The 25,085-nt window shown below is 54.1% G+C and overlaps 1 protein-coding gene across 1 annotated transcript in view, besides 6 other annotated features; it reads left to right on the forward strand.

Moving 5' to 3' along the window:
* CPNE2 (copine 2) overlaps positions 1-21,059 on the forward strand; it is a 55,787-nt gene extending 34,728 nt beyond the window's left edge. Inside the window, exons 12-16 of the mRNA NM_152727.6 lie at positions 539-593; positions 7,465-7,516; positions 9,839-9,972; positions 18,775-19,011; positions 20,241-21,059. Coding sequence (NP_689940.3) covers positions 539-593; positions 7,465-7,516; positions 9,839-9,972; positions 18,775-19,011; positions 20,241-20,348 — 586 coding nt within the window. The 3' untranslated portion in view covers positions 20,349-21,059. The remainder of the gene's footprint in view (positions 1-538; positions 594-7,464; positions 7,517-9,838; positions 9,973-18,774; positions 19,012-20,240) is intronic.
* Positions 7,923-7,972: an enhancer, noted in NCBI's record as "active region_10883". NCBI's record gives its function as "activates an Ori minimal core promoter by ATAC-STARR-seq in GM12878 lymphoblastoid cells {active_cell/tissue: GM12878}" and the evidence as "EXISTENCE:reporter gene assay evidence [ECO:0000049][PMID:35858748]".
* Positions 14,621-14,800: a silencer, noted in NCBI's record as "silent region_7523". NCBI's record gives its function as "represses an Ori minimal core promoter by ATAC-STARR-seq in GM12878 lymphoblastoid cells {active_cell/tissue: GM12878}" and the evidence as "EXISTENCE:reporter gene assay evidence [ECO:0000049][PMID:35858748]".
* Positions 18,347-18,641: an enhancer, noted in NCBI's record as "tiled region #3054; HepG2 Activating DNase matched - State 8:EnhW, and K562 Activating non-DNase unmatched - State 5:Enh". NCBI's record gives its function as "activates a minimal TATA promoter and a strong SV40 promoter by Sharpr-MPRA in HepG2 and K562 cells {active_cell/tissue: HepG2 | K562}" and the evidence as "EXISTENCE:reporter gene assay evidence [ECO:0000049][PMID:27701403]".
* Positions 18,350-18,555: a silencer, noted in NCBI's record as "fragment chr16:57179572-57179777 (GRCh37/hg19 assembly coordinates)". NCBI's record gives its function as "represses an EF-1alpha promoter that drives an FKBP-Casp9 reporter gene in an ReSE screen in K562 erythroleukemia cells {active_cell/tissue: K562}" and the evidence as "EXISTENCE:reporter gene assay evidence [ECO:0000049][PMID:32094911]".
* Positions 20,387-20,681: a silencer, noted in NCBI's record as "tiled region #6435; HepG2 Repressive non-DNase unmatched - State 23:Low, and K562 Repressive non-DNase unmatched - State 18:Pol2". NCBI's record gives its function as "represses a minimal TATA promoter and a strong SV40 promoter by Sharpr-MPRA in HepG2 and K562 cells {active_cell/tissue: HepG2 | K562}" and the evidence as "EXISTENCE:reporter gene assay evidence [ECO:0000049][PMID:27701403]".
* Positions 22,623-23,412: an enhancer, noted in NCBI's record as "H3K27ac-H3K4me1 hESC enhancer chr16:57183845-57184634 (GRCh37/hg19 assembly coordinates)". NCBI's record gives its function as "activates a minimal SCP1, AML or CMV promoter by ChIP-STARR-seq in primed H9 embryonic stem cells {active_cell/tissue: H9 hESC(primed)}" and the evidence as "EXISTENCE:reporter gene assay evidence [ECO:0000049][PMID:30033119]".

The following is a 25,085-nucleotide window of genomic DNA, read 5'->3' on the forward strand; positions in this document are numbered from 1 at the left end:
AAGGTACCCTATGTGTTTGGGGAATAGCAAGTGGCCAGTGGCCAGGGCTAGGGGAGTGGGGTGTGAAGGGGCGTGGGTGGAAGGAGATAAGACTAGGCTCTGGGACTGGATGACACAGGACCTTGAATGCCACAGGAGGGTTCTCATATTAGTAGAGTTTTCCCCAGCTATGAGCAGGAGGCTGAGAGACAGCCAGTACATTCATTCTACTTCCATCTTGACCTCCTGACCTTGGTTTAGTGGCTGGCTGAAGTCTCAGTTTGAGAAGGATCTAGAAGCTGTGCCCAGGCCCATTGGTTAGAAGTACCATTGTCGTGTCTGCCACAGGTATAGATGTGGTCAGGCCACATGTTCACCAGGTCCCCAGAGGTGGGTTGGGCTCATTAGGTAGATGATCCTAACAGCTTTTTCTAGAGGTGGTGAGCTCCTCCTTTCTGTCCTTGGAAGTGTATGAGGCAGAGTGGGCCCAGCCCTGGGCAGAGGGTCGGGTGGTGTCCTCAGGTGTCTTACAGTGTGTTTCTCTTCTCTCTCTGATTAGTGATAAGATGTTTCCAGCTCTGGGATTCGGGGCCCAGTTACCCCCAGACTGGAAGGTGAGTGAAACCGGAGTTAGTTTCCTTTTGGTTGAGATGGGGTTTGTGTGTGTGGCCTCTCGGGGATCAGCTCTGGAAAGGTCTTGGGCTGGGGCCCTGTTGCCCTGCCTTCCCTGTGTTCACCCCAGGCCACGCTCATTTCTCAAGCCTGATCCTTGGGCAGGCACTGAGGCTGTAACGGGGCAGCACGTTATGTTCTCTGTTTATGAGACCCATGTGGAGTGGGGGAGACAGATAGGATTGCCAGATGTCGCAAATCAAAATACAAGACACCCAGTTAAGTTTGAATTTCAGGTAAACAATGTTTATTTTTATGTGTTTATTTTTATTTATTTATTTATTTAGAGACAGAGTCTTGCTCTGTTGCCCAGGCTGGAGTGCAGTGGCACAATCTCCACTTACAGCAACCTCCGCCTCCCAGGTTCAAACAATTCTCCTGCCTCAGCCTCCCGAGTAGCTGGGATTACAGGTGCCCACCACCACCCCGCAGCTAACTTTTGTATTTTTAGTAGAGAGTTTTACCATGTTGACCAGGCTGGTCTCAAACTCCTGACCTCAGGTGATCCACCGGCCTCAGCCTCCCGAAGTGCTAGGATTACAGGCCTGAGCCACTGTGACCAGTGCAGATAAACAATTTTTAAAGTATAAGTATGTCCTGAATATTTCATGGGACATACTTATACTTAAATCATCCATTGTTTATCTGAAATTCAAGGTTTTGTATGGATCTAGGGGTACAAGTATAGTTGTATTACGAGGACGTATTGTGTGAAATATGGACTTTTAGTGTATTCATCACCTAAATAATGTACATTGTACCCAGTAGGTGGCATTTCATCCGTCACCCCTCCATCCTCTCGCTGTGTGGAGTCCTCAGTGTCTGTTATTCCCCTCTGTGTGTCTGTTCTGTGTGCACCCATTGTTTAGCTCCGTCTTATAAGGGAGAACATGCAGTTTTTTGTTTTCTGTTTCTGAGTCATAGTGGGCATCCTGTATTCTATATGGCAACACTAAAGACAGGTAGTGTCATCGGTGCTGAGGTGGGGGCACCGTAGGCCTGTGGGGAGCCGAGGAGGTAACCCAACCCAGCTTGGGGCCATCAGGCTTCCTGGAGGGGGCAAGCTCTAAGCCAAGAGGGGAAAGGGAAGTAGCAGAGTGACTAGAGGTGGCAGTGGGGCAGGGGGAGCCTTCAGGGCAGAGAACAGACTGTGCGAAGCCTGCAGGACGAGCTGGAGGAACTGGCAGAGGTGGGTGATAGACCCTCCATTGGAGGTGAGCAGGGTGGAGACAGATGTGGGCGTTAAAGGGCCACGGGGACCCCTGCAGGGACCACATAGGGGCTCATCAGCAGATTGGCATTTCTAAAGGCCTCTCCTGGCTGCTGAGTGGGGCGTGGCTAGGGCGAGAGTGGGCAGAGTGGAGGGTGGAGAGAAGGGGCGAAGGCAAGGAAACTCAGGGCAGAGGCCAGGACTTTCTGTGTGACCAAGTGAGTGTGGGCCGAAGAGGTCACCAAGATTTCCAACTGGGCACTGAGGCGGGGGTGGTGCTGCTTACTGAGATGAGGAACGGGGTGGGTGCTAGGCTCAGCAGGGGAGATGGTAAGGTGGGAGTCCCAGGAGAAAGGTGGATGATGGCTGGGCACAGTGGCTCACGCCTATAATCCCAGCACTTTGGGACGCTGAGGCAGATGGATCATTTGAGGTCAGAGAGTTTGAGATCTTCCTGGCCAGCATGGCAAAACCCCGTCTCTACTAAAAATACAAAAATTAGCCCAGCGTGGTGGCACATGCCTGTAATCCCAGCTACTTGGGAGGCTGAAGCAGGAGAATCACTTGAACTCGGGAGGCAGTGGTTGCAGTGAGCCGAGATCGTGCCACTGCACTCCAGCCTGGGCAACAGAGTGAGACCCTGTTACAAAAAAAAAGATAAGTGGTTGATGGGTCAATGGGTTTGGGCTCTGGGGAGACAGAGAGAGACCTGGCCACCTGGGCCAGGACCCATGGTGCCACCTCTGGGAGGATGAGATTGCTAGGGAGACAGGTGGAGTGAGAAACAGCCACATGAGGCGGGGTGCAGTGGCTCACACCTGTAATTTCATGCTTTGGGAGGCCAAGGCAGGAGGATTGCTTGAGCCAGGAGTTCAAGACCAGTCTGGGCAACACAGTGAGACCCTGGCTTTACAAAATTTAAAAGTTGGCTGGGTGCAGTGGCTCACACTTATAATCTTAGCACTTTGGGAGGCTGAGGAGGGTGGATCACAAGGTGAGGAGTTCGAGACCAGCCTGGCCAACATGGTGAAACCCCGTCTCTACTAAAAATACAAAAATTAGCTAGGTGTGGTGGCGGGAGTCTGTAATCCCAGCTACTCGGGAGGCTGAGGCAGGAAGATCCCTGGAGCCCAGTGAGCTATGAGTGCACTGCACTCCAGCCTGGGTGACAGAGTGAGACTCTGTCTCTAAAAAATTAATTAATTAATTAATTAAAATAAAAAAAGAGACAGCTGCATGAGAGAGCCAGGCAGATGAAGCGGAGACTGAGCCCGGGGGCAGAGCAGGGAGGAAGTGAAGGAGGGAGGGGCAGAAAGCAAACCCATAAGTAGCAGCATTTATTGGGCCCTTAGAATGTTCTAGATACCACTCTGCCTGCTTTACCAGTTTCAACTAATTCTCACCAAAGCCAATGAGGTAGGCCCTGTTATGAACCCATTTTGATCGTTGAGGAAGCCAAGCAGTCAGGGCTCGGGGAGGAGGGAGTGGGGTTGGAGGCTGCCCCTGGGCCTGGTGAGGTAAGGCTGAGAAGAGACCATCCGTTTCACTGACCATGGCTGGGGCCATTATGGCAGAGACAAGATGGGGAGGGGAGAAGGGCATGGAGACATCAGCCAGTGTGGCAGTCAGCCAGCGTGGAAGTCAACTGGCTGTGAGGGAGGGGAAGGGTTAGGTCAAGCAGGTCTAAAGGCTGAGGAGGAGCCAGGAGAGGCGTGGAGGTGAATTGAAGCGGGGGTCCCTGAGGTGTGGTTGTGGGTAGTCCTGGGGCAGGAGGCGGGGGCTCCTCATAGAACCACGGGCACCAGGGGAGGGGTGGTTTGGTGGCTCAGAGATGGAGACGTCAATGAGGGCAGAAGCTGTGATGCTGGGGAGTCGCTGCAGATGGGCAGGGAATGCTGTCCCATTTTACAGGGCAATAAACTGAGGCTTGGAGCCTCAAAATGACTTGCCCAAGGCCATGTTCACCAACTGGGCAGTTGGACTCTAAAGTTTCTTCTCAGACACTGTTGCCTCCCCATGAGAAGCCTGTGGGGTGTGAGGCCAGAGAGCTCCTAAGCCTGCACATGGGTCTCGCTCGGCCAGTGCCCCTTCTTGTCTGCCCTGCTGTGCCGCATTGCTGTTTCCAGAGTGAATTTTTGCCTCCTGTCCTCTCTGGTCCTCTCTGGGGAGGATGATTTTCACCTAGAATTTCGGGGAGTGGCCCAAGGGCCAGGGCAGGAGATGTGGGTGTCCTGGCTCCCTGTGGTGTGAGGCTACGCCTCAGATGGGACCAAAGCTGGGCCACAGTGATGCCATTCGGGGGGCAGGGCGAGCTGGTGCGGCTGGGCCCAGCACGAGCCCGTTGCTAGGACACCAGCCAGCTTTCAAAGAACTGAATGAGATGTTTTCTTGAGCAAAAGCCTCCTTGTAAATGTCACAGGGCGATGCTGGGGAGGCCAGGGCTTGGCCAGGCTGGAGTGCCCGGCGGTGCCAAGAAAGATGCTGCGTCCAGGCTAGGAAAGGACAGATGCTGTGTCCCACCTCCCCCTGCCATGGGAGCCGCCAGGCCTGGCCCCTCCTGGCCCCTCACCCTCTCTCGCATTCTGACTCGCCTCACTCCTGCTGCCTGAAGCTCCTTCATTCACTCCCACCTCAGGGCCTTTGCACATGGCCTTCACTCAGCCCGCTGCTCCCTCTCCTGGGCTTCTGCCACCGATTTTCACCTAGAATTTCGGGGAGTGGCCTGCCCTCTGGGAGCCATGCTCACACTCACATGGGGGCCCTTCTTCCTGCCCAGAGCCCTGCCCTCATGGAACTCTGTGACTTGTTTGTGATTGCCTGGGGAAGGCACTGGGTTTCTTTCTGCCTGCATCCCAGCACCTGGCCTGCAGTGTGCAGTGCCATTGTTTGTTGACGGAATGAATTTGGGACCCAGCCCAAATTTGGGACCCCAGGCCTGAGCAAACAGAGGGGTCGGTTCTCTGAGGGTGGGAAGCTAGAAGGAACCAGAAGGAGCACGTGACCAGGCTGCCTGCCTTTGAGACCTCAGTTTCTCCCTGAGGGTGGCCCAGATGATCCCAGAGAGAACTCCTGCCCCAGAGAGTGGCTGAGGGTCTCAGGACGCGTTTCCCTTTGGAGATGGCATGAGGTCTTGGCCCTTCAACGTGAGCAGAGTTACTCAGATGAGGAACGGGATCTGGGCAGAAGGCACAGTCTGTGCAAAGGTCTGGGAGGAGGGGGAGCATACTCTGCAGGTGGGGAAACTGAGGCTCAGAGAGGACAGTCACTCTGAGATCCCTTGGGCTTTCTCCATGCCCCACCCGCTGCCTCTACCACCTGCCTCAGCCAGGGCCACAGGGAACTGAGCCTGAAGTAACTCCCTGACCTCAAGGCTGAGCCAGGCCAGGTTGGGTGAACAGGGCCATTGGCTGTCAGAAGGCAATAGGGAGTCCCAGGACAAAGGCCTGTGGCTGGCAGCCAGTCCCCAGGGGCCCCTCATCAGCTTCTGTGGCCTCCAGGAACTTGTTCTGTTTATGACTTTTCTCAGGCAAACCAGGGCAACCAGTATGGGAGGGGCTGAGCTGCCACTCCTGGTAGCATGGACACTTGTCCCCAGGCCCCACTGTGTGACCTGGGCACTCCCTGGCCCTCTGGGAACCTCACTCTTTCCAGCTATGAAATGGAGTTGCTGGAGGAGACAACCTCTGGGGCCTCTGGGGCAGATGGACAACCTTCCACAGCCCCCCTGACCGCAAGGCTGGGCCCTCCCCAAATAAAGAGGGGGGAAGAGTGGGGATGAAGAGCGGGGGGCCCGAGAAGGCAAAATATTCCTCCACCCCTATCAGCAGGGGGCTTTCCCACTGTGGTCTCTAAAATCTCCTAAAATCTGATTTTTCAGGAAGACTTTGGCCCAAGGGAGTCCTGTTTCCCTGGCAACCATTTTCTCTCTCAGCCCCTCCATACAAGCCCCCCTCGTAATCTCTATAGAGGCTCAGGAAGTCTCCATGGCAACAGGGACCTCCAGCCCCCAAACCTGGAGCCCAGACTGGGGACAGGGTGAAGTGGGCCCTGGACAGGGACAGGACCCAAGAGGGACACCAGGGGACTGGCTCTGTGCCGGGCGCCTAAAGCAGACAGCAAAGAACAGAAAACCCCATTGCCTGAAACGGGGAGGAGTCCTCCCACCACCTCCCCTCCCCTGGGCTGCCAGGGAGGCCAGACTGAACCCCACTGCTGGGTCCCTGCCCTCTCCCCCAGGAGTAAGACCAACTCCCACCCCCAGGGGAGGGGAGGGCACTGGGTCTCAGGCCTGTTCGACTGTGTGGCTCTGGTGCCTGGCTTCCCTTTTCTGGGCCTCGGTTTGTTTATTTGTAAAATGGGGACGCTGGATGCAGGAGAGCCTCCCAGTACCCCCATCGTCATGTCTTGGAGCTGAAGAGTCTGTCTGGGATTGTCTGTGCCCAGACAAAAGCCCTCCTCCTGCAGCTGAGGACCGGGGCACCCCTCCACCCTCCTCATTGAAAATCCCTGGGGGAGGAATGCCTTTGGAGGTTAGCGTGAGCTCTGGGAGCAGCCTGACCTCAGTTCGAGTCCCAGCTCTGCCCGCCAGGAAATGTGGGAAAATTCTAGTCCACTCTGTGTCTCAGTTTTGTCATCCATAAGATGAGGTGATAACAGCTGCCCTTCCATTGGGGTGTTGTGAGGAAGGAGTAAGGGGATTCCTGCACAGCAGTGAATGCGGATGTGGTACATGGTAGGAAGGGGGCTGAGGGGGATTTGGGGCTGTGGGGCTGCAAGAGAGGGAAGAAAGGAGGGACTGTCCCCCATCTGAGCTCTGCAGCGTCTCCCGAGGCCTTGGGTTCTGCAGGCACTGCAGTCTCACCCACAGCCCTGAACGGGGCCAGTTATGAGTCCTTCTATACCCCGAAGCCATGCGAGCAGCAGCAGCCGGATGTGATGGGTGCAGCAGTGTCCCGGAGTGTCCGGGTCAGTCTCTGATGATCCTCTGGGGCTGGGTGCTGGGCCTGGAGGCAGAGAAGCAGGATGAGTCCCTAGGGAGCCTATGATAGCCCCATCTGATCCCCTTGCAGCCCCCTTACACTCCCTGATCGCCAGGTCAGCTCTGAGTGGGCTGTCAGCTCACCCCCGTTTGGCTGTCTGGCGCAAGGCAGGCTCCCCTCTAAGCCCCTTTGCTTACTGTTAAGGTAGGAAAAGCCTCTGAAGCCCAGAGAAGCGGTGCTCTAGTTGTGGAGCCCACATCCAGCTGTAGCAGTGATGAGGGAGCATCCTGGAACCCTGGCCCACAGGGAAATCCCTGTCCCACCCGGGACTCTTAGAGGACTGATGGGGCATAGGCAGCCCCAGTCCCCAGAAGAGCCCAGGGTGACCTGCCAGGGTCTCAGTTTCCTCCACTATGAGGAGAGGGTGGTTGGGCCTCTCTGTGGGTCACACCCAGCAGTGGAGGTGAAAAGCAGATGTGGGGGGTATCAGTGGCCTAGAGGAGGGTAGGGGTGGGGGTTATGAGCCGGTGCTCTCAAAGGGAGCCTTGGCCTGGCAGTGGGTGGTGGCCTGGGTCTGGGTTTGGGGGCGGGAGGCTGCAGCTCAGCGTTTTCTCTGCGTTTCAGGTCTCCCATGAGTTTGCCATCAACTTCAACCCCACCAACCCCTTCTGCTCAGGTGAGTGTCAGACCCACCTGCAGCTGCCCTGTGTTTGCTACGGGCCTGGCCAGCTCCCTGGGTGGAGGGAGGGCAGAGGACAGGTTTTCATTTCTTTCTCCTTTCCCCTCCCCCTTACTGTTGCTCAGAGTGACAGAGGGGGAAGAGCTGCAGTTTGGAGTCAGATAGTCCTGGATTCAAGGCCAGCTGCTGCCCTTCCTAGCTGTGGGACCTTGGAAAGGTCACTGTACCTCCTGGGCCTTTGCCTCCTTACCTGCTCCAGGATAACTATGACAGCTGCTCTTCTCACTTTACTGGGTGGTTCAGTGAGAATTACAGGAAGCCACTGACAGGAAGTCCTGTGTAAACCAGGAGGAGGTGAGGGTGGCACCAGACACACCTGCTTTCACCTCCTTCCCACCCGCCCCCTTGCTGGGAAGGCCAGCCCTGCTCTGGGAGTACTTGGCGGGGGATCAGGGGGAGGCAGGGGCTGGGAAGTGAGTATGGTGTCTGTGTTCATCCCCACCCCTGGGCCTAAGAGGATTTCTGAGCCTCCTAGGGACAGTTAAGAAACTATTAGAGGCCGGATGCTGTGGCTCATGCCTGTAATCCCAGCACTTTGGGAAGCTGAGGCAAGAGGAGCACTTGAGCCTAGGAGTTCAAGACCAGCCTGGGCAATAGAGGGAGACCCCATTTCTACAAATTAAAAAAATTACCCAGGCATGGTGGCATATGCCTGTGGTCCCAGCTACTCAGGAAGCTGAGGTGGGAGGAAAGAAAGAGAGATGGGGAGGGGAAGGGAGGGTCACACCTTTAATCCCAGCACTTCGGAAGGCCAAGGTGGGTAGATCAGAGGTCAGGAGTTCAAGACCAGCCTGGCCAAGATTGTGAAACCCCGTCTGTACTAAAACTACAAAAATTAGCCAGGCGTGGTGGTGCGCACCTGTAATCCCAGCTACTCAGGAAGCTGAGGCGGGAGAATCGCTTGAACCCAGGTGGCAGAGGTTGCAGTGAGCTGAGATCATGTCACTGCACTCCAGCCTGGGTAACAGAGTGAGACTCTGTCTCAAAAAAAAAAAAAAAAAAGGAAGGAGAAAAGAGAAAGAAAGGAAAGAGAGAGACAGAGAGAAAGGAAAGGAAAGGAAGGGAAGGGGAAGGGGAAGGGAGAAGGAGGGAGGGAAGGAGGAAGGAAGGAAGGAAAGGAGGAAGGGAGGGAGGAGGGGAGGGAGGGAGGAAGAAAGGAAGAAAGAAAGAAAAAGGAAGATGAAAGAAGGAAGGGAGGGATGGAGGAAGGGAGGAAGAAAACTCTGAGTGGAGGAGAGGGGATGCAGGTGGGTATGGAAGAGGGCTGTTTCTATCATCATGAGACCTTTCCGCCTAGGACTTGGCTTCAACATAGCATCTACCTTCCCTGGGGATCCCCAAAGCTGGGCCAGGCTGTCTGATTTGGGGTAGATCTCCAGAGACATTTTGGTCAATCAGCTTCATCCCTGGCCAGGCCTTCTGGGCAGGGCTACAGGGCAGTGTGCTCATAACAGCAGCTATTTACAGAGCGCCTACTCTGTACAGGCACTGTGCGAACGCCTTGATCCCCCAACCACGAACAGAAGCCATAGCATGTCCAGAATGGACCTCCAGATGGCTTCCCATGGTCTCAAAGCATCACTGCAAGCTTCGCCAAGCCCCTTCTCTGGAAAGGCCTGAGAGACCCCCCTCCTGCCAACTGCCAGAGTGTAGATTATCAGTCCCATTGACAGACAAAGACGTAGCCTCAGAAAGATTAAACTACTTGCCCCAGGTCCCACAGCTAAGAAAGGCAGGATTTAGGCTGGACACGGTGACTCATGCCTGTAATCCCAGCACTTTGGGAGGCCAAAGTGGGCAGATAACCTGAGGTCAGGAGTTTGAGACCAGCCTGGGCAACATGGCGAAACCCTGCCTCTACTAAAAATACAAAAATTAGCCAGGTGTGGTGGCACATGCCTGTAGTCCCAGCTACTCGGGAGGCCGAGGCAGGAGAATTGCTTGAACCTGGGGGGTGGAGGTTGCACTGAGCCGAGATCCTGTCACTGCACTCCAGCCTGGGTGACAGAGCAAGACTCCTCTCAAAGAAAAGGCAGGATTCAAACTCTACAGGCCTGTCTGACTTCACATTCAGGGCTCTTGGCTTTTTACCATGCTGGCCCTTCCCTCTGGCAGCTTCCAGTCTGTCTCACAAGGCCTATGCTAGCCATGGCAGGGACATTTTGGGTAAGCATGAAATAGATGTTTCATCAGCAGTGAGATGAGAGTGGGTATGGGGTCAGGGAGACCTGGCTGATCCAGACTCTTCTCCCGAGGCAGGTGTGGATGGTATTGCCCAGGCGTACTCAGCTTGCCTGCCCCACATCCGCTTCTACGGTCCTACCAATTTCTCCCCCATCGTCAACCACGTGGCCCGGTTTGCGGCCCAGGCCACACAACAGCGGACGGCCACGGTGAGTAGGCAGCTGCAAGCCAGTCATGCCAGGAAACACGCACGTCCTCTGGGCTGGGGGGCAGGATATTCTGCCTTCTCTTTGCTTTAAATCCTAGTGGACACCTCTGGGCCTTGCTTTACCTTCACGTATTGTAAAAGTTGAGTCAAGCTCAACTTGATTGGTCCTGGCTTCCTGGAGCACAGACTGGAGAAAGCAAATCCATTCGTGCTGAGCAGGAAGCAGGGCTGTGATCAACGGGAGATGTCTCCCCAGGGCGAGGTACTGGTTATTCCCACAAGAGTAACAAGATGGAAAACTGGAGGCAGTGATCCCTGAGGCCCTAACGCTGACCCTTCTGAGCCACCTAGTTCCAATCAGAGCTGCCCCTGCCTTACACTGAGGGCTGCTGAACTGTCTGGCCCTGGCCCTACACTCAGCAACAAGCCTAGAGCCTCACTGGCCCGGCTGAGGCTGCCAAAGTAGCTGCGTGGCATCTGGAATATATGGTAAGCAGCCATCCCAGGCATCTGCAACCGTGGTCTCCCTTCCCTTCTCCCGCCCCCAGCTGCAGGCTGGCTCCCAGGCAGGCCCTACTGGCAGGGTCTGATGCCAGTGGTGGGGTCACCAAAGGTCACCTTGCCCACCTCCCCATTTCCACCATGACCTGCCCTTGCCTCTCTCTGCAGTATGAGTTGAGAGGTCTTCTCCCCCTGCCCTAAGGGCAGTTATCTGATGTCCCTTCTGCCTTCTCCTGACCTTGGGGACCTGACTGACCTATGCCCTATGCATAGGACTTCTCAGCCCCTGACTCAGCCCTGCTCCTCACGCTCCAGCGCCGTGACGGGGAATCAGGCACCCAGCCCAGATGCTGGTCTGGGTTGAGGAGACTTGACTCCAATTCCTTTCTGGCCACTACCTCCTGGGAGACCTCGGCCAGCCCCCACCCCTTTCTCATCTTCCACCTCCATTGAAAGAAGAGGGTTGCTGAAGTCACTTCTAGAGTGTTCATTTCACTAGACTCTAAAATATCCCAAATTCACCCACTTCCCCATGGCCACAGGTCTCTCAGTGGACCCTGCAGCTGCCTTCACCACTCCTCACACCACCAGTCCACAAGCTACCATTTGTTTCCCCCACTGGAGGGTCAGATCCAGCCGCTGCCCTGCCAAAAACCCTTCGCCATCAGATTGGATCCCCTGAGGCCAGCCTCTGCCTTCCTTACCGACCCGATCACTGACTGCACAGCCCTTTCCTTCTCTTAGGATGATTCTGCCACCTAACCCCCCGTGTGTTCCTCGAGCACTCCTAGCTGTTCCCCCGCAGGTCCTTCCTGGACTCTGCAAGGCCCTCCCTCAGGGCCTCCTCCCCCAAGCAGCCTTCCCTGACCACTATATGAAGCAGATCTCTTGCCTTCTCTGCCTGTTCCTGGCTGACCCTGATGATGGTCGGCAATGTCTAGTTCACATCCTTCTCTCCGTGCCTGGTCCAGTGCCTGGGCTGTGCAGGCTCATCGTGCTCTGTGAATGGATGAAGTCAGCACTGGCTGAGGGATGTCAGTTGTACAAGCTCAGTCAGAGCCTCCTCCCCCAGGGAAAGGGACCTGGTCCCATGCCTAAGGGGACCATTGGGACCAGCCAAGGGAGGGAGGCACCTGGTCACCAGGGAGGTGGCAGTTGACTTCCGGGAGGTGGTGGGAAAGATAGTGCAACTGCCCAGTGGGTTCACCTTGCCTGCTGCCTAGAAAGAATGATTTATCAAGACAGGGGAACTGCAATGGAGAAAGAGTAATTCACAGAGAGCCGGTTGTGCAGGAAACCGGACTTTTATTATTTCTCAAATCAGTCTCCCCGAGCATTTGGGGATCAGAGTTTTTAAAGATAATTTGGCGAGTAGAAGCTTGGAAAGTGGGGAGTGCTGATTGGTCAGGCTGGAGATGGAATCATAGGGGGTCGAAGTGAGTTTTTCTTGCTGTCTGAAGTGAGTTTTTCTTGCTGTCTTCTGTTCCTGGGTGCAATGGCAGAACTGACTGAGCCAGATTACCAGTCTGGGTGGTGACAGCTGATCCATGGAGTGCAGGGTCTGCAAAATATCTCAAGCACTGATCTTAGGTTTCACAGTAGTGACATCCCCAATTTGGGGAGGTTCAGACTCTTGGAGCCAGAGGCTGCATGACTCCTAAACTGTAATTTCCAATCTGTAGCTGATTTGTTAGTCCTGCAAAGACATACTGGACCCCAGGCAAGAAGAGGGTCTTTTTGGGAATGGGCTGTTATCAGTTTGTTTCAGAGTCAAACCGTGAACTGAATCCCTTCCCAAAGTTAGTTTGGCCTACACCCAGGAATGAACAAGGACAGTTGAAGGGTTAGAAGCAAGATGGAGTCAGTTAGGTCTGATTTCTTTCGCTGTCATAATTTCCTCAGTTATAATTTTGCAAAGGCGGTTTCAATAGGAGTGGGGAGTGGCAGAGCCTCTTCTGATGGTTCAGGAGGCAGTAGAGAATCTGTGGGAAAAATGGGTACCCTGGAGTGGCGGGTGCCAGGGTTTGAATCCTGCCGCTGTCCCTTCCTCACTGTGTGACTTGGGCAAGTCACGTCACCTTAGTTTCCTCATTTGTACAGTGGGAAAACTAATAGGATCAATCAGGAGGAGGTAGTATTAGGATTAAATAAGATCACTCAGCACATGGCACCCAAAAAGACCTGAGGGACGGAGAAGGACAGGCCAGCAAAGCGCTCAGGGAAGAGTGGCCGGGGTAGAGGGAACAGGAAGCGCAGGGCGTGGAGGCAGCACCCGGCCAGAAGGAGCTCAGAGTGCCAGAAGGAGCTTCCCGGCCCTGACCCTGGCAACCCGGAGCCTGGGGCATGTTTCTTCTTATGGAATGGAATGTTTCCTGCTCTAAACCCATTTCCTCTTTTTGTTTTTTGAGACAGAGTTTCACTCTTGTTGCCCAGGCTGGAGTGCAATGGTGCAATCTTGGCTCACTGCAACCTCCGCCTCCTGGGTTCAAGCGATTCTCCTGTCTCAGCATCCCAAGTAGCTGGGATTACAGGTGCCCACCACCACGCCTGGTTAATTTTTTGTATTTTTAGTAGAGATAGGGTTCCACCATGTTGGCCAGGCCTGTCTCAAACCCCTGTCCTCAGGTGATCCGCCCGCCTCAGCCTCCCAAAGTGCTGGGATTACAGGTGTGAGCCACTGCACCCACACCCATTTCCTCTTATGAAATGGGCGTAGTAAACCCCCAGTGTGCTGTGAGGACCTGGGTGCAGGCTTAATGGGCAGTAACTGGGAAAGGCCTGGGAGGGATATTTTTTTTTTGAGACAAAGTCTCATTCTGTTGCCCAGGCTGAAGTGCAGTGGCACAGTCTCAGCTCACTGCAATCTTCACCTCCTGGGTTCAAGCAATTCTCCTGACTCAACCTCCTGAGTAGCTGGGATTACAAGCACCTGCCACCACGCCGGGCTAATTTTTGTATTTTTAGTAGAGACAGAGTTTCACCATGTTGGCCGCACTGGTCTTGAACTTGTGACCTCAACTGATCTGCCCACCTCAGCCTCCCAAAGTGCTGGGATTACAGACCTGAGCCACGGCACCCGGCCGGGATTTTTTTTTTTTTTTTTTTTTTTTTTTAATTCCTGGGTTTGCTGGGCTAGAACTGGCTAGAGAGGGCACAGCAAGAGGCAGGCTTCACCTTGCACTCCCTCCTGTTCGGGTGCCAGGCCATTGTCCCACCCAGTCTTGTCCACCCTGAGCAGGCTTTCAAAGGGATAGAAAAAGAAAGTCTTGCATGTTTGTTTAAGGGGAAAAATGTGGGGCAGGGAGCGGGCGTGCAGCCCAGTGTTAGCGCCAGGGCCCTTTCACAGCTGCACCTGCAGAGCTGGGGCAGGACTGGGCAGGAACCAGGGTCCTGGGGAGAGGTGGGTCTGTGTCTGCTGGACCCAGGTCTGAGGGGGTTTGGGCCCCAGGAAAGGCCAGGAAGGGCATTTGTGTGTTCTGGGGAGCAGCTGCGGAGAGCTCCCCAGAGGGAAGAAGCAGAAGGACTTGAGGCCCAAGCACCTGGTGCTAGTCCTCTGGACATCCCAGCCACTTTTGCTGCGACTTGGTCCTCCCGGCCTGGGGGAGGCAGCCACCTCCTGGCTCCTTTCTGCTGGAAAAGCTCTGTCACCCACCCAGGCTGTGTGACCTCAGGGGATGTCTGAGCATCTCTAACCTGCAGGAGTGGGGCCAAGGGGCCTCTTATCAGGCTCTCCCACTCTGATGTCCAAGAACAGATAAGGCCATTCTCTACCTCCTGCCTTACCTTATCCCCTTGGCCTCAGGGTACACCAGTGGAGGGGAGGTGGGGCTGCCTGGTGGTTCAGCCTCAAGCTCTGGGAGGTTCAAATCCCAGCTCCCCCACTTCCTGACTTCGTGGGACCGAGAGCAGGTAGCTTAAACTCTGTGAACTTGTTTCCTCATCTGTGCGACGAGGATAATGGAAACAGTCCCTGCCTTCTAGAACTAGATAGGCATAGAAATTGCTCAGCATAGTGCCTGGCACACATAAAGTGCTTCCCTGCTGGCCGAATCTTTTGGGGACACCTCTTGAGCTAGCATTCAGTGATGCCAAGCACAATTAGTCCCAAAGCAAAAGGAAGTCATTTATGAATTATCCCCTGATGCTTTTGTCAGCCGTTTTTTAGTTTGGGGAAGAATATTTGGTGTGGCTTCACCCTCCCCATCCCCAGACATATGTGCACCGATGCACACCCACGTACAGGAAATTGAGAGCAGGTGGTGGAAGCCTCTCTCTAGGCAGGGCTGCACTCTCCCATTCATTCACTCAACACATCTTTACCAACCAACTTCTGTGTAGCACTGGGGAGACCATGATGAGTGACACAGGGCCTCTGCCCTCCCAGAGCCTGCAGTCTAGTGAGGAGCCCTAGGCCAGGAGCAGGAGGCAGGGAGACTAAGCCTGAGGCGATGGAAGCACGGGCTCACAGAGGTGGCATCCGACCCAGATGGAGGGCTCAGGAAAGGCTTTTTGGGAAAGTGACATGTGAGCTGAAACTTGGAGGATGCTTGAGTTAGCCTCATAAAGGATGTGTGTGCGTGGAGTGTCTCAGGCGGAGGGAACGGCACGTGCCGAGGCCTGGAGGTTTGGTGTGTGGGTGTATCGGAAGGAAGGAATGTGTTGAAAGAGGAGGAGGTGGGGTGAGGTGAGGCTGAAAGGTAGGCCAGCTCCTGCGGGGCCTCGGAAGCCATTGAGGAACCTGGGTTTTCTCTGGAGGGCGGTGGGGAGCCACTGGAAGGTCTTATGCAGGTTTGAGTGAGCCTTGGGGGGACTCCTATCTCAGGCCTTCATCTTTCCCTCTGCCTTGGCCCCTGAGACCTGGGCCTTGCTATTCATGGCCCATTCCTGGTTGGTCACCCAGGTGTCTGGTGTCCCAGTGGAGGGGGAGCTGGGAAGCACCCAGCCAGCTCCCTGGAAATTCCACCCGCTCCCCTCGCAGGGTCCTCAGCTGCCAACTTCCCTGAAATGAGCTAGGGAGTAAGTGCAGCTTCCCTAGACTCTGCCTGGAACTGTTGTGGTCAAGTCAATTTCTTATAAATCAAATCAAACGTTAAATGCATTAGGGGAAGCAGTTGTTTACAGCCCTAGAAACCTGAAGAACCTCGGAGTAAAGGCAAGAGTTGCTTCATCCTTGTTGGGAGTTGGGTTTTTGGATTCAATCTGACAGTGATGGGCTGTTTCTGGAGGTGGGAATGCTGGGGACAGGGTGAACCAGGACCACCTGCAGGGACAACAGAGCCTGCAGAGCCTCTTCCAACCCCTTGCACCCGATTCCACCCTCCGTTCTCTCCATCTACAGCCCCTTCCCCTTTGATCTGTCCTGGGGGTAGGGCTGTGTAATAGACGTTTGAGGCTCCTGAACAACTCTGGCTTTGTCCAGGCTGGGCGGGAAGCCGGGGACTTGTCAGCTGCACTTCCACTGCCGAGGTCTGGGCTGCTGACCTCAGGCGCAGCTGGGCACTTGCTGAGGCCAAGCCCCTGTGTGTGGGCATGGTGGCTGGTTGATTGGCACATAGGGGTGCGGGTTAAAGTCCAGTACCAGGGCTCTGGGCCCCACCCTGGGCTGCTATCCTGGATATTCAGGCCCTCAGACACTGGCATGCTGGGTGGGAGGAAAGCTTTTCCCTGCCAGGCCCCTCTGTTGGAGACAATGACAGACCACTGGTGCCAGTGGGCGGTGGAGGAGGACATCATGTAAAGAGCCCCAGCTTCGGAGTCAGCCAGGCTGGGTTCAATCTGGACTGTGCCAGTTCCCGGCTGTGAGGCCTCAACAAGTTACATCACCTCTCTGAGCTCCACTCCTCTAGAATGGGAGTCAGCATGAGGGTGACAGGCAGGGTCTGTGTAGTGCTGTCACTGTGTGGTATCACCTCCTCTGGCCACTGGTGCCCACAGTCCTGCAGGAACCTGGCCCTGTCTGCCCCCAGGCTCCCCAGGGAGGAGGGCTGCCAGCTAAGAGGTAGGCCCAGGCCTGAGCCCCACGCATCTCCTAGGCACGGGGGCTGATAGAAACGAGGGAGCCAGGAGGGCCACGTGTGGAGGGAGTGGGCACTGCCTGCCTGAGCTGGAACGGGCTTGGAAACAGATCCCACCCACTGAAAGGTGTGGCCCATTAGACCAGGACCAAGCATTCTTTTCTTTCTTCATTGCCCGGCCTCTTAGTGTCTTTCTACCTATCTGCTTAGGTGTCCCAGAAATGTTGCCCTGGACTGTTTCTGATGGTATTGAGGTGGGGTTGGAGGGCCGCCTAAGGGAAGGGGCCCAGGAACAGTGGTGGGCTGTCAAGGGTAGGGTCTGGATGGGCTTCTGAGGCCCCTCACAGCCAGGGATGGGGGGCTGGCAACAGCAGCCCTCCACTGTGGGATTCAGGCCACCATCTCCATGGCAACAGGTATCCCCAGCCAAGGGATTGGTCTCTTAAAGGCACAGTGCTGGAGCTAGACCACTGCTGCCTGGAGCTGGGGGTGAGGGTGGTGGGGTCCGTGTCTCCACACAGCTCACCCTGCTCCTTCCCTCCACTGTTGTACTTGGGGGGCAGACAGGAACAAGGCACCCTGGAAGGCTGAGCTTGTAGCCTCTGCAACCTCCCCAGGGAACAAGTGGCTTTGCTGGATATGAAGGTGGCTAAGGGCTGACCTGGGGTCCAGCTTGGTTCCACCCTCCTTAGCTCCATGACCTTGACTAGTCTAGGCCCCAGTTTCCTCTTCTGGAAGACTAAAGCCCCAAACAGAGAATATGAAGACCACAAGAGCTGATCTGTTGATGTTACGGATGGGGGAAACTGAGCTTCCCCTAAAGGGGTCAGCGGGTACTAAGGACAGAGCTGAGCTGAAAATAAGTTCTTGGCTGGGCGCGGTGGCTCACGTCTGTAATCCCAGCACTTTGGGAAGCCAAGGCGGGTGGATCACCTGAGGTCAGGAGTTTGAGACCAGCCTGGCCAACGTGGTGAAACCCCAACTCTACTGAAAATACAAAAATTAGTCGGGCATGGTGGTGGGTGCCTGTAATCCCAGCTACTTGGGAGGTTGAGGCAGGAGAATCACTTGAACCCAGGAGGTGGAGGTTGCAGTGAGCCCAGGTTGTGCCAGTGTGGGCGACGGAGCGAGACTCAGTCTAAAAAAAAAAGAAAAAAGAGTTCTTGGCCAATTTGGAATCCTGGGCCCTCACCCTCAGATGGTCCAATGAGCCTTCCTGCACTTCACTCAGGCACACCCCGGCCCCACTTCACAGTTTGTATTTTATATATCTCCCACACTAATTATTCAATTTTTAAAATTTAATTTATAAAGAAACTCTATATCCCATTGTAAATGAAAAAAAGCAGTATCACTTGCCATAAATAGAGAGTAACAAAAATAAACACAACAAGCTGTACAATGGTATTAAAGCCTAGCTGGAGACTATTGTCTCCTCAAGCTCTGGGCTTCCTGCCTTCCCTTTCCGTTGATAAGGAAGCTTAGCAAATGTTAGAGAGACGTGAAAGACACAGTAGTACCAAACCAAGACTTGCTCCTGGGTGCAGTTCATAGAATTGAAAGGCCACTGCAAACCAGTCCTCTTCCGGGGTGACTTGATGACTTGATGGTGCTCAGTGCTGTGTTTGGGATGTGACTCAAATCCACTTATTTGTCAGCAGAGTCCCACACTCCTGGAAGCCCTGGCCCAGACGACCTGCTTTAGCTCCCGCAAGGTGTCTCAGATTGTCGTGTTGAGTAGGGAATGGAGGGGGTCACAGGTGCCCATGCCCAGGTGCAGCAGAGAGGGGGAGACCGGTCCCAGAGCAGCCCATCAGCCAGATGAGTCCCCCTGCGCCAGCCGTGGGCCTGTCGGGAATGCAGCTGACTGGGCCACTGCCACGTCAGGCACATTATCTGCAACAACTCCCACTTTGCAGATGAAGAAACTGAGGCACTACGAGTCAAGTCAGTTGCCTAGAGTCCCACAGTATAGCAACTGGCAAGGCCAGGCCCAGAGTCCAGGGCTCTCAGAGGCCCCAAGGGGGAGTCTAAGATAACACACAGGGCAGGAGGGGAGAGCAGTTTGTACTTCCTGCTGTGACCAGGTCAGAGTTTAGAGCATGAGAGGCCTGCAGGGGTGGGGTGCTGAGAGCAGGACGCATAGTGAGTTGTCTGGGACTTGGCTGCAGCTGGGTAAGATGCACTGCCTTCCTCCAGGACTCGGAGGGTTTGGGATGAAGGAGGGAGGGAGAAGGGGTGCCAGAGCCTCGACCTTGCTGAGTGCCCCGTTGGCCCCCTCCCTGCAGCAGTACTTCATCCTCCTCATCATCACGGACGGGGTCATCAGTGACATGGAGGAGACACGGCATGCCGTGGTGCAGGCTTCCAAGCTGCCCATGTCCATCATCATCGTGGGCGTGGGCAATGCGGACTTCGCTGCCATGGAGTTCCTGGATGGGGACAGCCGCATGCTGCGCTCCCACACGGGGGAGGAGGCAGCCCGCGATATTGTGCAGTTCGTTCCCTTTCGAGAGTTCCGCAACGTGAGTGTGGGCCTGGGCTGGGAGGGGGCGGTTACAGGATCCCAGCCACCATAGCTCATAATCAAGCTTGAGAGTCTTGGGGTTGTCTGGCCCAATCCTAGACTTCTCCACTCCATTGACTATGCTCTTCTGAGGGCCTGCCATGTGCCAGGCGCCGTGCCAGGCCTTGCCCCGGTGGTGGCCATTGTGATAGTGTGAGCACTTGCTTCCACAAACTGATGGAACATGGAGCCGTGGGCATCTAGCCTGAGGCTCTGGGGCAGGGCTTCCTGGAGGACCTGCCCTCTAGTGGGGTCTGATGAGAGGCTGGGGCTATCCATGTGGTGTAAAGTGCAGGAGGAGAGAGGGGTTTTCCTGATCATCACGCCCCAGCAAGCCCCCTCATTTTGTAGACGGAAAACAAGGCCTCCCAGTCATCTTAGGTTGACCTCCTCTCCCTAAAGCCCTCTGCCTGGGAGAATGGTGTCCCCAGCCTTGTTCCTGGAAGTGGCTCTGGCTTTATTTGCAGGTGATCCCAGATCTGCCCACAAGGAGGCCGGGGTTGGCCTCCTGATCACTGCCCTAGCAGCAGGGTCCATGAGGAGTCCCATAGGGGAGCAGTCTCTCCACTGTACCGCTGTACTGTAATGCCACCCCCATACTGCTGGCTGGGGGCTTAACCCAGCCTCAGCAAGAACTGCCCATGCTGGTTTGCACCCAGTGGCCCTCACCTCTCTTCCCAGCATCCTCTGGGGTTGCCTGCGATGGTTCTACTCCTTCCTCTGGAGCATTCGCTTCCTAAGGACAAACCCTGGGCATCGGTCACCCCTTCATGCACAGGTCGGTGACCGAGTACCTCCATGTGCCTGGCCTGTGGCTGGCTGTTCACTAGTGAACCATACTGTCAGGCCCATTTATTCCCGCCAAGAAGGTGCTCAGGAGATGTTTGCCGGACACATAGGTGCTTCCCGCAGACGGAGTCATCCTAACCCGTTACTCCCAAGCATCTCAAGTGCTCCAGGTAACACTTACACCTAACCTAAAGGAAGGCACTGCGATCAGGGGGAATTTCAGGCCTGGCCTGGGCTGAGATGAGGGATGCCACTTGCAGACAGCCCTGGCCCGCAGCCCTAATTTTGTCCTCAATGGACACCTGCTGTAGCAGCCCTCTGGGCATAGTGCCGCTCACAACTTCCGGTCATTAATCCTTATTCTCTCTCTTCCCCACCCCACCCTCCTCCACCCTGCAGGCAGCAAAAGAGACCTTGGCCAAAGCTGTGCTGGCGGAGCTGCCCCAACAAGTTGTGCAGTATTTCAAGCATAAAAACCTGCCCCCCACCAACTCGGAGCCCGCCTGAGCTCCAGTGCCCAGCAGCAGCATGTCAGCTGAGCCTCCTGCCCTCCCCCAGGAACATGCACGCTCACTCTGCTTCCTTGTGGGTGGCCTTTTTTTACCGATCCCCTTTTTTATTTTTTACAACCGGACCTCCACCCCCAACTTCCTCCAGCCCAGCTGGGCTTCCTTTGTTGGAGTCAACTGTTGATGCTTCCAGGCCAAACTGGCTTCCTCTCCTCCTCTCCCCACCTTTGCCATTCTTAAGTATTGAATGTACTTTGTATAATTTTAGTGGAATTGTTATTGAGAATAAAATTTTTACAATCATAACTGGCTTTTTCCAAGTAACTAGCTGCAGACTCTGATGAAAGAAACATGTCCTTGGTGCATACGTGTCGTAGCCTGCACCTAATTAATTCCTGCTGTTTTTTTAATACTGTGACTGTGTTCTATTTGTTATATGCTCAGGGTAACAAATGAGTTTCAGACGTCCCTGCGTCAGCTCCTTCCTCAGCAGGGACCTGACGGGCTCACTGATCTAAGAAAGGAAATGGAAAATGAAAATCCACCCCACAAGTCTAATAAGTTGGTGTAGTCACTTCTGCATGGGGACATGCATTCCAGATGATAACCTGTTAAATCACTGCCAGTTAACAGTGATAACCTGTTAAACTGGCACAGAACCTGGCACATTGTACAAACTCAATAAATATTCATGGATGAATAGAATGAATGTGCAGGCCCATACCAGTTTCTGACATATCCCTACCCCACAACTGGACAGCAGTCCCAGCCACCCATCTGCTCCTCCTTGGGTCTCCCGGGTGTTTGGGTTGGCCACCTAGAGGTCTGTGAAAGCCTCTCTGGCCTCAGGACCCAAAATGGGGCTGCTTCTGACCCTGCTGTTTCTTCCACATCCCCCTCTCTAGGCTCAGGCCCAGTTTTATGAAACCAGCCAGAGGACCCCTCTCTGAAAGTTCAGCCCCGCTCCCAGGTCCCTCCTTTATTCCACATAACACCTCTTTCTCCTTTATCCACCTGACTCCCGCTTGGACCTCCAGGTAAGCCCCCTGGACACGGGCTTCCGTGTAACCAGTAACAGCTAACCCTCCTATTAAGCACTTTGTTTCCAGCTCCGTGTTCAGTATTTTGCAGGCACTTTTTCTGAGACAGGGTCTCACTCTGTCCCACCCAGGCTGGAGTGCAGTGGTGTGATCTCGGCTCACTGCAGCCTCAACCTTGTGGGCTCAAGCAGTCCTCCCACCTCAGCCTCACGAGTAGCTGGAACACAGGCATGCACCCCCACGCCCAGCTAATTTTTGTAGACATGGAGTTTCGCCATGTTGCCCAGGCTGCAAGCACTATCTTGGTGAACCCTTCCAATAGCTCCTGACGGTGACCATTTCAGAGATGAGGAGACAAGCAGAGAAGCGAATCAAGTCTACTAGAGGCAGAGCCAGGCCTCATACCCAAGTCTGGCTACCTCATGGCCCACACTTGCTCCACTGCATTGAATGCCTTCCCTTGGCTCTGGATGGGGTTCTTCTGCTCAAGCTGCTAATGAATTTGTCACTCTGTGCCACTGAAATTGGAAAGTCATTTGTCCCCATCTACTCTTCTGGCCAGTAATTCTTACTAGGGCCTGCTAGGATTGGGCACCGCAGCAGGTAGATTCCCACCTCTTAGTGCCTGGTAAGCTCCAGCCAGAGTTTTTCTGGTGGGAGCAAGTAAGGGATACCTTCATCCTAAGCTTCTGGTGCCGCTGCTGATTCTGTGGACACCAAGAGTCAGCTGAAGGATCTGTTAGGGACACTTCTCTCAAGAGGGCCGCAGGACTGCACAGAGCTCTGATTTGCAGACTGTCCTTTGGAAAACTCCAGTGCACTGGCCCCCAGGCCAGCAACATGGGTGGAATCCCACTCCTCCCTTACACCTTCCCGTGGGAGCGGCTTACGAGCTTGGTGAAACTAGGGAGACTGCCGTCCACTGGGCCACGTGAAGGCGAAGCCCTGGCCTTGCAGTGGGGGTCTGTCCCACATGCTCCCACTCTCAGATCACTTCCTCAGGTGTGGTGGCCGTGGTCCCCACATCCAGGCTTCATGTGGGGGCAGATCCAGCCATCTCTGCTGTCTGCCCCTTCTCTGCCTAACGGTGGGTAAGTCAAGCAGGCCCTTTATTCCTAGCTGGCTTCAGTTCACAAACTTGTCTAAACTCTTGTCTAAAGAGTTTGTCTAAACTCTTGACAAGGCCAACCAAATCACTTTTTATTTTCTTATTTTTGAGACAGAGTCTCACTCTGTCACCCAGGCTGGAGTGCAGTGGCACAATCTCAGCTCACTTAGCCTCCGCCTCCTGGGTTCAAGTGATTCTCCTGCCTCAGCCTCCCAAGTAGTTGGAACTACAGGCGCACGCCACCTTGCCTGACTAATTTTTGTATTTTTAGTAGAGATGGAATTTCACCATGTTGGTCAGGCTGTTCTCGAACTCCTGACCTCAAGTGATCCACCTGCCTCGGCCTCCCAAAGTGCTAGGATTACAGACATGAGTCACGGCGCCTGGCTCCAAATCACTTTTGTAAAAATCCAAGCTTTGGTGCTGCTACTTGGTTCCTGCACATGGATAGCAGGCTGAAAAGTGAACTTGGAAATCCAGCCAGAAAGACTCCTTTACCCTTGAATCCCTTCCACGGAGGCCTGGGCACTGGCATTTGTTTAGAAGTTTCACTGAAACCACAGAAAGCCAGACTTAAAGGCTCAAATGAAAATTCTGGTTCAAATGAAAATTCTGGTTCTGTCACTTAGCTATGCAACCTCAGACAAGCCATTGAGCTCCTAGGAATTCTGATTTCCTGTAAAATATAGAGAAGGGCTGCTTCACAGGACTTTTTTCCCCCAGAATGAAAGACACTAGAGTCCACAAAAATAACGCACAAATGCCCCTAACACCCTGGCATATACATAGCAAGCTCTCAGTATACACTGAATGAAAGAAACCAACACAAGCAATGATGTACATGACTATTACTAAAATAGTAATGGAAGACCAGCTTGCAGTATAAAGCACAGGTGAATGGCTGTCCCTCTGTTTTTCTGCCTCTCCCCTCTGCAAAGCTCTGATGCTGGGGCCATGTTCTGCCGTTACCACTGTGAGGCTCCCTCTCTCTCCGAACCGCTGCTCCAGCAGGTAAGGGAGCAAAATGTCAGCCCTTGCCAGTGTCACTAAAGCACAAATGTGTGACTGGTTTCTGTGTTCAACCTGTGACTACAAAAGTGTTGCCAAGATCCTAGCCTCCCACTGAGCAGAACTTGCATTCCATCCTGTGACGCCTAAGTGGGTTGGGCATGCCAGAAAACCAAGAAAATACCCAAGTCCAGATAATCTGCACTGCCATGGAGCTGTTTTTCTGGAGGGGCCTAAGATGACAGCTGAGCCATATACCCACGGCTAGGACAACCGCGCCAAGGAACCGGGTGTGCCTAAGCAATTAACATTTAGCCAAAAGGGAAGCATACAGCAAAAGCTGGTGGTTGGAGCTTTGACGACCAGATCTGACCCTTCACCCATGCCAGTGTTCTAGCTGCAACTGAGGAATGCCAGTGGAATGGATAAACCTGCATAAATCACCAATAATGGAAGCTCTGGCTATGCCACCCAGAAAAAAGGGAGGGCTGATGGTAACAGCACTGAGGGTGGCCACCATTTACTAAACACTGTGTGTCTGATACCGCACACCTAGCACCTAATCTAGGTTATCTCTATCTCCCTAGGAAATTGGTAGTGTTATTCCTATTTACCAAGGAGGAAAGTGAGGTCCAGAGAGGTCACACTAACCTTGCCCAAGTGACACAGCTAGTCACAGCTGGCTCCTAACTCATAACCACTATGGTGGAACTAGGCTGAGTTCCCAGGGAGGAGCAGCAGAAACAGTGGGGAAGGGCTTAGGCAAATGAAGCTCCTCTCTTGGGTGGGAAGGAGGAAGCCAGACAGGAAGAACTCAGGAGCTAGAGTGAAAGAAATGAGGATGCCTGGCACTAAGTCACCCGACTTAGGGCCTCCTGACTCCCAGTCCAGAATGATTCTGAAAAAAGCTGAAGCCCCCCTCCGCCCCACCCCTCTGGATTTGGGGAGCCAGCTCTCAGTCTCTTGCATCCTTAGATTCAGGGAAGATATACACAAGTAGGTAGCCAGCCACCTTTTTCGGTCTAGTCGTATCAGTTTCCCTGGTTTTTACAGATGGAAAAATAGACGCTTTGAATATCACACTCATTTTCCACCCAGGTGGGTGACACAAGCTAGATAATCCTCCCCATATAGAGGTGGCAGTAGGATTCCTATTAGCTTTCTCCCTCACATGGCTGGAGAATTGTAAGAATCCTACCACTCAGAACAAAGTAAGCGAGCTTAAAGAAACCCATGCCAAACTTTGTTTTTGTCCCGTAATTACCATAAAATCCCAATTATTAAGGCAGGAGTACTACACTTTACAGTTTAAAGCAGTGTTTCCTTCCAGCCCTGTTTATTCTATTCTCCTTTGGGTTTGAACTTCAAGGTCTACACTAGATACTTTCCAAGGCTGCTTCCTCTGTTGGTCAGATCAGACGCTGCTTTGTTAGCTGTGGTTGCTACAGAAGCTCTGTTTCAGTTCCAGAGCTCTGTGCTGATGGGGACAATGGAATATGATGCAATGATCACCAGTGATTCTCAGTCTCTCCTGAGACACCAGAAGGTAAGTCACAGTCTGAAGAGTCTCACTCAACCT

This window comes from Homo sapiens, chromosome 16, assembly GCF_000001405.40.
Source record: "Homo sapiens chromosome 16, GRCh38.p14 Primary Assembly".
NCBI lineage: Eukaryota > Metazoa > Chordata > Mammalia > Primates > Hominidae > Homo > Homo sapiens.